At 35.1% G+C, this 13,420-nt stretch overlaps 1 protein-coding gene and 1 long non-coding RNA gene across 4 annotated transcripts in view; one reads left to right on the top strand and one right to left on the bottom strand.

Annotated features, from left to right (window-relative positions):
- The window catches only part of GPC5 (glypican 5), a 1,468,617-nt gene that overhangs the window by 192,718 nt on the left and 1,262,479 nt on the right, over positions 1 to 13,420 (bottom strand). The window lies entirely within an intron of this gene.
- LOC105370315 (uncharacterized) overlaps positions 1 to 13,420 on the top strand; it is a 67,055-nt gene that overhangs the window by 3,181 nt on the left and 50,454 nt on the right. For both annotated transcript variants that reach the window (XR_931643.4, XR_931644.3), the window contains exon 2: positions 11,333 to 11,384. This is a non-coding gene — a long non-coding RNA (uncharacterized LOC105370315). The remainder of the gene's footprint in view (positions 1 to 11,332; positions 11,385 to 13,420) is intronic.

Raw genomic sequence — 13,420 nt, 5'->3', positions numbered from 1 at the left:
TTTGATTTCATTATTTCCCTGCCACATGGAAACAGGATATTTGGTCTTTGTCCTATCTCGATGCTATTCCTATGATTTTGTTACAGAAACCTTAATTTTGTCTGCTTTTAAGTAAAGCAGTTTTTATGCAAACTTCTAAGAGGGCAGCCAGATAACTTTTAAGCACACTTGAAACACCAGAGATGACTCTGCCAAGTGCCCCAGGGAAAAATTCAAAGTATGATAAAGACACTTCTTCAACCCATCTTTCTAAAGTTGCTGACTGTATAGGCTTGTTACAAGCATTAGATGAACCCAGTGAGAGGAACGTGTCAAAGCTTGAATGTGCAGCTCCAGGTTAGAATGTCAGCTTTTCCTTTGGGTTACTGAAGGAGAAAAGCCATTATCCATGCACAAAACAAAAAGTTACACGGCCAATCAAATGGAAGGCATAGATTTGGTAATCCAGTTTCAATATTTGCCATTTGCTTTAGTGGGGCTGAAATAGGTCCCTTAAGTGGTTTATGTTCCACCTTCTGGAAGTGAGCAGAAAAAATATTTTAAATTAATGTTTATTTTACTCTATTTTAATATCAACATTTTTTTACAATTGAAAATGGAACCTTGGTTTTATAAGTAGTTCCTTCATTCCATTATTTATGAGGTAGCTAGCCTTGATTTGAAAAGTGTTTTTTAACATGACTAGCTTTCTGAAACTCTAATACCCATTTTCTAAGATTTCTGTTCTGTAAGCTATTTTAACAAAGGGTCAGTGGTATGTCTTTAAATTTTGATTTTAGAAGAATTAATAAATTCTCATTACTTTCACATATTATTTTATCTACTGTGGAATGATAGATTTTCAAGCTGTCACTGTATTCCATCAGGTATTTCTGTTGGTTCATCAAAGTGAAATGAAATGAAATGAAAATGCAGGAAAAACAAACGAATAGAACACAATTAAGACTAATTCATTTTGGCTGGGTGTGGTGGCTCATGCCTGTAATCCCAGCAGTTGGGGAGGTGGTCATGAGTTAGAGACCAGCCTGGCCAACATGGTGAAACCCCATCTCTACTAAAAATGCAAAATTAGCCAGGCATCATGGTGCGTGCCTTCTGGTACTGGAAGGTACTGGAAGGCTGAGGCAGGAGAATCACTTGAACCTGGGAGGTGGAGGTTGCAATGAGCCGAGATCATGCCACTGCACTCCAGCCTGGGCGACAGAGCGAGATTCCATCTCAAAAAAAAAAAGAAAAAGAAAAAGAAAAAAAAGAGTAATTCACTGAAACACCAGTTTGTAAAGCATCAGAGATATTTATCTCTTGTTAAATATAACATTGTTGTTGAAAACTCTGCTAAAATCTTGCATTCTTTTTTTAAAAAGGTAAATGAATTTTAATAACATATTATGTCATGCATAAAAAATTATTTAAAGTTGATATCAATATAAAACTTATTGAGCTACTTTAAAGTTGAGTTTTTTTGCTTTCTTTTTAAACTTTTATTTTAGGTTCGGGGGTACAAGTGCAGGTGTGTTACACAGGTAAACTTGTGTCATGGGGGTTTGTGGTACAGATTATTTCATCATCCAGATATCAAGCCTATCACCCATTAGTTATTTTTCCTCATGATCTCCCTTCTCCCTGCCTCTACTCTCTGAAAGTCTCCAGTGTGTGTTATTCCCCTCTATGTGTCCATGTGTTCTCATCCTTTAGCTCCCACTTATAAATGAGAACATGCGGTGTTTGGTTTTCTCTTCCTATGTTAGTTTGCTAAGGATAATGGCCTCCAGCTCCATCCATGTCCCTGCAAAAGACATGGTCTCTGTTCCTTTTTATAGCTGCATAGTATTCCATGGTGTATATGTACCACATTTTCTTGATCCAGTGTGTCACTGATTTCCATTTTGGTTGGTTCTATGTCTTTGCTATTGTGAATAGTGCTGCAGTGAGCATATGCATGCATATGTCTTTATAATATAATGATTTATATTCCTTTGAGTATATACCCAGTATGGGATTGCTGGGTCAAATGCTATTTCTGTCTCTAGGTTTTTGAGGAATTGCCACATTGTCTTCCAAAATGGCTGAACTAATTTACACTCCCACCAACAGTGTATAAGCATTCCTTTTTCTTCACAACTTTGCCATCATCTGTTATTTTTTGACTTTTTAATAACAGCCATTCTGGCTGGTATAAGATGGTATCTTACTGTGGTCTTGATTTGTATTTCTCTAATTATCATGAACAGACAGTTTTGAAAATTTTGCAATCTTGTGAAGACAAATTAATACATAATTTTCTGAGCTGGGGTACAAATGGCTTTTCTGGGGCAAGATTGTAGAGATTAACAAAATGAGGTTGGGAGAAATTGAGCTACATTGTTGTCAAATTTAGCTCGCTGGGAGTAAAAAAAATACCCAACAAAACTGAAGTCTGGAACTTATTAATAACTATTCCTGGCTTCCTTCCCTCTGCTAAACATGGATTGTCAGATTTCTCTCTGTGAGTTGTCCTCATTCACTACTAGAGTCAGTCAATGGCCCTGCACTATATTCCCTGGCAATGATTTTGCAATGAGTTTTGTTCAGGTTCTTAACACTTTAAGATAATGTCAACGTTCTCCCTTAACTTCTCTCTGCTTCCAATGTCTTCCATTTCTAATCCACCCTGCACACAGAACAGTTTATTTATCCTTTTTAAATATGGAAACCACTCTCAATCGTCTACAGGACAAAGCACAACCCTTTTAAACTTTACCCAACTAACTCAGAAAAATAATTTCCCATTTTTGTTGTCTCACAGATACTGGAATATACAGATTTATACCTACTTATTTTTCCCACACAAATTAGCCCACTGTGAATAACCACAGTCTCTTTTCGTTGTTGTTATCTATCTGAATTCTGCCCATTTAAGGTAAACTTATGTCCATAATTACTGCTGCTCAAGAACTTCTAGAGCCTTCTAACATGTGGTAACCTATTCCCTCTTTAAAATACCTACTACCATGGTTTCAGTTTTCTTGACTGTTTCCTAACAGAAAAAATAGTACAAAGGGATCACAAATGCAGAAAAGCTAGAAAAATAGAATGATTAATATTCACACATTTTGGAGTAATGGATAGATGGTTTCATTGTAATTGAAAGCGCAGAGGATTTCTGTGAATTATGTATACTTTTAAAGCATTATTTCAGTGAATCCATGGCTGAGCACCTACTCTAATCTAGGTGCTGCCATTGGCCATAACAAGAAAAGGAGAATAAACCATGGATTACAAGGCCTTCCCTTCAAGGCTGGTCTTGTTTATTTCGGAATGTTTTTTTTACAGAGAACTCAGTTCTGATTTTGCAGAGTTTTATGTCACATGCACAGGACAGAAAATAGTGACTAGGGAAGCTCTGAGATTTCTAGCATGTCTGTTGAATAAATAATATTATTTTTTCAACTTTCTTACTGCTTTCATCTTAGGATCTACAGCACTCTAAAATATTAGTCAAACTTCAGACTACCCCTGTACTATTATGCTTACGGGTGATCTTTTTCTGAGATTTACTAAGGGGAAAATTTGATGGATCGTAGGCTGCCAAGCAAGTTCCCTGGAAAATGCAGATCAGACCAAGGAGCAGCCTTTTTGCCACAAAAAGTAGTCATGTTACTGCTCCAGGACTGCAAGGTGGAATAGATGAAAATGTGTTTATGTATGTGGCCTTAAGAATGTCACACAGAATTTGAAAAGTGAGAGCTTATCCTTAGAAAAAGAAAAAGGCTAAAGGCTTGTAGACACAAGAGATAGGACTGGACACTTGGAGAACAGGCTGATATCTTCTTAAATGCTGGGCAGACTTTAAAAAAATTCTATGGTCTGTTTTTGCTAACTAGACCCTATCTACTCTTCTTAGTAACATCCCCACATGGAAACACCAACTTTGTGCCATTAGTTCAGTCTCAGATGGAAAGAATGAGAAATCATCTAAATAGAGATATGGAAAAGATTTAGCAGGATGAAAAGAACTGAACAGCACTGAGAGATGGCTGATATATAGTTCTGGAATTATACATTCAAAACACAAGCTGGTGAGACATTTAGAGAAACTACTTTTGCATGCACTTGTCTTCAGCCCTCTGCCAAGAAAGTCCTCTAGCCCATGAATAAAAGCAATGTTTCAGGACAACCAAGGGTTCTTTGAATCATCTCCTGTGTTTCTGTGGGACTTCCCTAGCCTTTGGATGCCTCACATTGATCACTGCTCTGTGTCTCAAGCCTCGTCTCCTTGGCATCCATATGGATTAGCTTTCTGGCTCCCAATTTAGCTCCATTTCCTTGATTCTGACAACTTTACACATTGGTATGCTGCCATTTACATTCCACATGGCTCCTCACACATGCGTACAACAGCCATTAATTCATTTCTTTATAAAGCTGAAATTCAGTGAGTTCCAGCCATATGCTAAGGACTGTGCTAGGCGCTGGAAATCCGTAGTGAGCAACCCATTGATTTTTAGGAGTTTATATGTTAAGAGGAGAGGGACTAAAATATTAAAAATTATTTAAACAAAAATTATTGGTATAAATGTAGAAAAACATAGATTGTGTGACGGCAAATAACAAAGATCCTTGTCTAGGGATTCCGGTACATTGTCCCAGAGGTGTCACTCTAGACTAAAGCCTATGGCTATTGACTATGAAGGGACATGGGGTGGAGTAGAATGGAGAGGACTCCTGAGTAGGTGCCTTGTGTGCAATTCTGAGTTAGGAAGGATCTGTTCTCTCTGAGGAATGAGTGTAGGCTAATGCCACTGGAGCAGATTAAGCATGAGGCAGGAAGACTTTGTCTTGCTTTCCAAGAGGACAAATGCCTGGGTAGCAGAAAGGAAAATGAAGGAAAGGAAATGGATTCAACTGCTGATTGGGACCTGGGGACAATTCGGTTTAGGGTGTGAGGAAAGTGAGGTAGCCATCATGGCTCCATGTTTCTAGATGAACAAAGGACATCTGGGCAGCATCCACCTGACATTGGCCAAGCCGACGATATACAGCAAACAGGTGCTCAGTTTCATCTGTCAAGAATAATATAAATGTAGCATCACTGTTCTCCTTGTCACATATTTGTGAAAGTAAGTGTATGTGTGTGTAAGGTGTGTAAGTCAAGACAAGGCTGCTGTCATGCTCTCTGGGTAGTTTTTGAGTAGAGAGAGGAGGAAAGACCAGGAAATAAAATGTAAATGAGATGCATAGTCATGGTGAAATAAAAAAATGGAGTAGGAAGTAACCATAAATTAGATCTTTAAGGCAGAATGTTCTGGAGGAACATGGAGAGGATAAACAGCTTAGCGGAGTTCTTGATTACATACAGAAATGAAACCCCTGCATATATACAAAATTATATTAATATAAGAAGTCTTTGGTGTGATTAAAGTTAGAACATTAAACTTACTGAGCATATATGGAGTCATTATTTGAATTTTTTGTATATTCAAATTATAGTAGTATTATTTTTCTGGGGACAATTTTATTAAAATGAAGACAAACTTACATGGGAATATTGCCTGGAAAGTAGAATCAAATATGCAATAAATTTCTAGAAATTAACAAATGGTTTCATTTACACTATAAGCAATTATTGATATATAACCATTAATCTTTTCATTTGTTTTCTGACTTATAAACACTGCAAATAACATTTATTTAAAAACTTTGTAATTGATTCAAAATTAATCTCAATAATTATAACAATTTTTGGATAAAGTTTATGTAATCATTATTATTTAAAATGTAAAAAATACAACTATATAAGGTTAAACCGTTACAGAAGACCACAGACTTATTCAAGCATATTTTTGCTGTGTCAAAAGTATTTTTCCCTTAATGTCAAATAAAAGATTATAGAGCTAAGTAGTACTTTTCTATGAAAAGAAAAATAACAATGACAACAATGAAAATAAAAATCATGACTTAAGCTAAGAAAGAATAGAAAACCTTAAGGAATATAAGTCACAGGCAATTTTAGCATTAATTATGTAATCTCTTATTTAAAGTTAAACATAGCTATGAAAAAAACTGAAACATTCTCTTGCTGAATGTGATATTCCAACTGAATAGTGAGAAGGTTTGGCTTCTAAATAGCTTAAACTTAGCCTGGAAATGCAGATTGTTGGTACTTTCTCTGCCCTCCAAAATTGTGATAATGAAATCTTTTAGTCTTCCCATTTCTGTTATGCATAAATATAAAATGGGAAGAGGAAAATATGTTTTCACTGCCTTAGGATGATGCATTTGAACTCAGAGTCCTTATATAAATATCATATTATCAGAACTTCTACAATGACAATAGTCAATACTGAGAGCAAAAGGAATCCTAAAATTTTTCCATAATGAAATATATTATTAGCAAACATTTATTTAACAATTTCAAAGTATTTTATGGTCTAAAAATCACATACATTCACACATATGTATATTTGAACAAATGCCTAAGAAAATGAAACCAAAGTTTAAAGAAAAGATATTTTTAAATTTTAAAGCATTTATAGCTCTAACTAAAATGTTAAATACCTCTTTAGTGTGTCTAGGATTCATAGGCAAAGCAGACATTACTCCTGACGGATTTTAGTTTTTGACAATTTTTGCTCACTTGAAATCCCTAGAAAATATGCCCACCAGGTTAACAACAATTATAGAATAACTTATGAACTGGCTTTTAGGTAAAGTTGCTGAATAGTCATTGTTGAGCTATATCCTGCTCAACACATGAATTATGATATAATTTTTAAAAAATGTAATATGTCTTATTAATACATGTGATCAAGAGTCAAGCGTGTCCGCAAATACCTGTTCACCTCATCTGCACGGCTGAATGGCAGAAGTTTTAGAGCAAGTACCCCAAAGCAGCAATGTCAGCCATCTTCTCCAATCTTCCCTACACTTCTCGCAGCTCTCTCATAGATGACAATATGCCCTTCACTAAGATCCATCCTTTCTTAATTACACAGAAAACCTCAATTTCATAACCCATGAATAGAAAGGGGAAAAAATCTCTCAATCTTTTACTCCTTACAGTGCCAAATATACTGTTTGGTTGTTCTCTTCTTGTCTCTCTGACCGTATTTTGCTGTGTCTTTTTCTCTCTCCTCTCTTTTTTGGTGATCAGATAATTGTTTCTGGTCCAAACTGTGGCCTCTTTTCCATTGTTTTATTTTCCAAGCACTCTCTGCATTATCAGTCCTCCAATTCGTCTCCCTCTCTAGATGACACCAATCCTCTCTTTTTAGTAGCTTCATTTTGGAAACACCAACAGTGGCATTTTTATGGACATAGTACATTTCCGTACACACACAGACACACATGCGTGCACATGCATGCCTCTGTTTAAGACCTCGAAACCCAGACAGTTCTAAAAAACAGTAGATCAGAGAGGTACTTCCTTTCAACAAATCTCAACCAAATTTTGGCCAAAAATATCTTTTTTTGTGAATAGTTTGAAATGTATACCCTCATCTATTGAAAATTATGCATAATGTTTCCAATTCTGTTGAAATGCTTCAGTATAGGGTGGCATTTTTCCCTATTTTCAGTTAAGAATGGAATAGAACCAAATGCCGAGAAGGAGTGACAAATGAGATCCCTTCCTGAAGCAACTATGAGGGGAATATAAGGTCCACAATATAGCTCCTCTTGGAAATATTTGTGATAAACCATTGAATTACACTAATCTCCTTGTAAAAGTCTGCATTATGGTAGCATGTGCAGTACTGGAAATTTAAGAAATATATGTAATTCTTCTATACACTTAGAGTTTTTAGTCCAAATGTCAAATGATAAATTATAAATGCTGAGCACTAATGTTCTCCCTTCAAATTGCATTAAAAGTGCTCTGCAGCATAGGAAATGGAAATTTTAATTCACTAGTCTACTAATCTTCTTATAAAATTGCCTGTCTTACAAAGTATATTTACACATCAATTTACTAAACTGAAATTAGAACATTTGTCAGAATTGATCTATGTATAAACATATTGATTATGTATAATTAGCATTTTTATTATTGATAGCATTTTTTTAATTAGAACAAAAAACATGGTTTGTTATATTATGAAAAGCCAGCAGAAACATGCAATTGCCAGATTATATCCTTAAATATTCACTGATTTCCTGTTTCCATTTTATTTACTCCAGTTTCTTAACTTAGCAATCTTGAATTCAGCAAATGTTTATATACAGTGGCTATGTATCATTTACAATACACAGTAAAAATCACTGACAATTTGAATGAGGCATTGCAGGAAGTATCCTAAACAACACTAGGGAAAAAAATCCATTGTTAATATATTCAATATCACAAAAGAAAATCCATCCCTGTTATGCTAAAATAATGAAATTTGTTCTTTGTAATTTCCTAGAAGTAGATGGATAAAGTAATTTACAAGCTTTGGGTTGGTATTTTATGTAACTTATTTTTTCAATATAAAGCAATTCTAACATATAGAAAAGGGAAGCACATAATATTCTTTTCACTCACATGCTAGTGATGCCTTCTCATTTTCAGTAGAGTAATGCTTGGAATTTTATATCACAGGGCATTTGCACTTTATAACAACAAACTAATCAGTTGGTGGGGTGCCAGATAATATGTGCTAATATTTCATTTATACCATACGTAGGAGGAAAATTATTGGAGACATATCACCTTATGTGTGAAATACATTCAGGGTCAGAATACAAAAACCACAAGTACACATAAGGCATTTGGTATAAGCCTCCTGACTAAGCTTTGAAGTGTTACAACATAGTTTATTTGCCTCCAATTCAAAATGTCTCTTCCCTTAAATTAGGGACATAAATGGAACCATAATTTTCAGTGCTTGAGAAAGCATCCTTTTAGAGCAATGGTATTGAATTAAGATATTCCGGTTCAGAATACAGTGAAACTTTAGTGTCCCACGGACAACCCTTCAACATTTCTTATTTATTTATGAACTCAAAATCAATCCTGTATATTCAGAGAAAGCAGAAATAATGGCCGAGGTCTTTTCCACCTCAGTTGGCTTGATTTTCTAGGCATAGATATGCTATTGCTTAGGATCAAAGAAAGAGCACTGGGGCCAAGGGTCAAGAGATCTGAATTCTAGTCCTTGGTTTGACACTTCCGGGATGTGGGATTAGCCTCTATTTTCCTATCTGTAAGCACCTTTCCTTTCTTAGAGTTTTGACCATAAGGATTTTATTTTTATTTCAACAGAATTATATAAAGTTTTCTTATCTCCTCCTTCCACAAGCATAAAAACTAAACACTGTCCCTCCATTATCTTGTTAATGCCTCTTTCTTTTCATTAATTTTATGGCCAAATTACTGTTGTTCCTGGGGAAAAAAATAAATGAGAAGAGCAAATTATCATTTTCAAGCCCCAGTGGCAAATAATGTTAGCAGTTTTGGGTGCATCCTTTCAGAAATTTTCCGTGTATCTATATTTTCATCATATGGTGATGAAATTATACTCTACAAACTCGATTTCTACTGTTTTTTTTGTAACACAATATTTATTGATCACATTTGTATTAACATATCCTTTATAACATCTGCATAATATTCCATGGAATGGTCATTTTATAATGTAACTCATGAGTTTGTATTAATGGACTTTTTTGCTGTTATAAATAATACTGTAATAAGTATTTTTATATCTAGTCATCTAGATTGATTCTTAGTGTAAATTATTAGTGGTGCCATTGCTGGATGAAAGGAAGTGAGCATTTTAATCTGCCAGATATTTGTAATCGCTCTTCAAAAATTTGGACCTATTATAGTCTCACAGGTAGTGCATTAGCATGATTCTTTGCTCTATCTTTGCCCAAATTGAATGTTTTACAGCTAAATTTTTTGTTAATCTGATATTCTTACTGTTTCAATTGACTTTTTTAAAAAAGTTATCATTGAGGTTGGACATTTTTTCACATGCATATTGATTATCAACAGGCTTTTTCTGATTAACTCAATAATTTTTAGTAAGTTGTCTATACGCTATGATTTCATTTTTACCCTACTCCACTTTCAAATAAAAGAATAATGTATTGTCAACATGGATAATTTGGAAAATGTACAAAAGTTAGCAAAACAATCCAACAGGAAGCTGAAGAAGGAAGTAAAATGCTGCTATCTTGATTAAGTAAAAAAAAAAAAAAAAAATCTATTGGATTTGGTGACTGGCAGGGTGATCCAAAGCCTAGAATATTACCACAGACCCAATCAATCACCAACTACCACCAATTTCTTTTCTAATATCTCACATTATCTCTCTTCTCAGCCCCTTGTGCTCACCATGGTATTTGATTTCTGATGATTCATTCTCCAGACTAGCCTTACATACAACTTTCACATGCAGTCCTCCACAATGTTGCCAGAGCAACAGCTACAACTCTATAATTGAAGGCATCAGGTTCTCCATATTGTTTGCCATCTTTTTTTGTTTTAGACAGAGCCTCACTCTGTCGCCCAGGCTGGAGTGCAGTGGCGCAATCTCGGCTCACTGCAACCTCTGCCTCCCGGGTTCAAGTGATTCTTCTGCCTCAGCCTCCCAAGTAGCTGGGACTACAGGCGTGCAGCACCATGCCGAGCTAATTTTTGTGTGTGTGTGTGTATATATATATATATATATATATATATATATATATATATATATATATAGTGTGTGTGTGTATATATATATAGTGTGTGTATATATATATAGTGTGTATATATATAGTGTGTGTATATATAGTGTGTGTATATATAGTGTATATATATATTTAGTAGAGATATATATAGTAGATATATTTAGTAGATATATATAGTAGATATATAATATATATAGTAGATATATATAGTGTATATATATAGTATATATATATAGTATATATATAGTGTGTATATATAGTATATATATAGTAGATATATATATATATAGTAGATATATATATATATATATTTAGTAGAAACAGGGTTTCACCATATTGGACAGGCTGGTCTCGAACTCCTGACCTCATGTTCTGCCCGTCTAAGCCTCCCAAAGTGCTGAGATTAGAGGCGTGAGCCACCGCGCCCCACCTGTTTGCCATCTTTGACAGATAAACTAGATAAGCTCTTTTTACGACACTCAGAGAATATCTTGAATTCACATTTCTGCCATGTTACTCACCTATCAGAACCAATTCCATCCCCCTCCCTTGTATCAAATATTGTCTCTGATAATAATAAATTGCATTATGTGTAGTTCCTGAAAAATTTCATGTTCTTATACCATTAAATTTTTCCCACACTATTTGTTATAACTAGTTTTTATTTCTGCCTAAAAAAAAATTATTCTCCGAATTTCAGATCAGACATTACTTTAGGTGAAGACTTTCCAGTCTGACTTCCCTCACCTGAGGTAGGTGTTTATTCTTTCCTCATCTCACAGGACTTTGCAAATCCCACTGTTATAGCATATTAAAATTTAAATTGTTGGCTTGCATGTCTATTTTTCTACTTAGCGTGAGTTCATTCACAGTAGTGATCATGTGTTTGGTTCTTAACAAAAGTGGTTTTCTTTGGATTTTCCAGAAGCAGAACCTAAGAGAAAAATTCACGTGAAAATAATTTATTAAGGAAGGGCTCCAGGGTAGATAAATAAGGCAATTAGTGGAGCAGGGCAAGGAAGAGAAGGAAGTCAGGCAAGAGTGTGATTGCCATGCAAAGCCCAAGGAGAACAGCTTTAGCCTGATTCCACAGGGAAACTTTGGAGTGTAAACTAAACTTTAGAGCTACTATAATCCAGACTATGGATCTGGGACTTTGGTGAGTATCTTTCGGTCACTGGTTAGTGGAAACCTCAAGGGGAAATAAACTCCCAGGCACTTCACGACCTTTTTAAGCAAGGGCCAAGTAGCTCCAGTAGCTGAGTGGCAGTTATCCAAAGGAAAAAATCATGTAGGCACTCAATAAATTTTGAGTGGCTGGCTGGCGGGACAAATGGATAAGTGACAAATTATGCAACTTGGGGTTGCTTAAAAGACAACAGGGGGACACTGAAGACTTTTGATGAAGACAGTGGTACCCCTCAACTTGATAAATTGAGTAGATTAGTTTAGAAGCATTGAGTAGAATAGATTAATGGAAGGAAAGTCTAAATGCAGGAACAGTATTTAAAAGAAAACTGCCGTGGTGACGAAAGCCTGTTCTAGCATGGAAGTAGCAGTATGCAAGGTAAGACTTGCCTTGGATTCATATTGCAATTGAAAATTTAATCATTCTTGATGAATGTCGGCATTTGTGAGATAAAGGGAAAGAGAGAAAGAGTGGGGGTTTTGTGCTCAAGTGACAATGGGATTGCTTACAGAAAAGGACAATCTAAACACATTGGGAGTTGAGTTATTACGATGGGCTGGGGGCAGAGCTAGTGTTAAAAGTTCAGCTCTAGATGTAATGGGAGTCAGTAGGGACAAGCAAATATATGTATAGCAGACATATTGGAAAAGTGGGACTTGATCTTGGAAGACATGACAGATTGGAAATATGGATGTAAGATTTAGCATTTAAGACAGGAGAGCTGAATATGGAATGGGGAGAGGGAACCTTTAAAACAGAGGTTATTGAACAAAGATATTGAAGAAGAACAGGACTATGACAAATGTCATTTGGTGATACAGAGAAAGAAGAGATAGGAAGAGGTAGAGGAGAAACAGGACTTAAATTCACACTGTATTCTTATCTTACTCTAATGACGATTTAAGCTGGCATAACTTCCATGAAAAACAACTTGACAATAAATACCAAAAATGTTTTAATATTTGGATATTATATTCCAGCAATCCTACTTTAATCTCAACAATCCTAAGAAATCAGCCAGAGATAATCATGTTAGCAACAGTATCAAAATAGTATTCTAAATGTTGAGCAATAGGAGAATATTTAAATTATTACAGAACCAAAGGGCAAATCTTACATAATCATTATAGTCTATGATTTTAGACACTATTTAATGCCATAAAATTCTTTTATAAAATATTGTTTGAAAAAATAGGCCATAAAATATATAAGCCAACATTACTAAAATGTATTTTGTTTATATAATGTATATGTGTGTAGATATGGATAGGTATGTACACAATCTCATTTAGTGTGTATAATTTATACACTGAGTGTTGACAATTGAGTCTTAATTGATTATAATTGTCTATTTTTTTTTTTCAAATTTCTCCAACTGAGCATGTCAGTTTTTATGTTTTTTTTTGAGAGAGGGTCTCATTCTGTTGCCCAGGTTAGAGTGCATTGGCATGATATGGCTAACTGCAGACATTACCTCTTGGACTCAAGTGATCCTCCAACCTCAGCCTCCCTAGTAGCTGGGAGTGTATGCGCACACCACCACACCCAGCTAATTATTATTATTAAAGATGGGGTTTCACTTTGTTGCCCAGGATGGTC

The sequence above is a fragment of the Homo sapiens genome, chromosome 13 (genome assembly GCF_000001405.40).
Source record: "Homo sapiens chromosome 13, GRCh38.p14 Primary Assembly".
Taxonomy (NCBI): Eukaryota; Metazoa; Chordata; class Mammalia; order Primates; family Hominidae; genus Homo; species Homo sapiens.
This window is presented reverse-complemented; position numbering and strand designations above follow the sequence as displayed.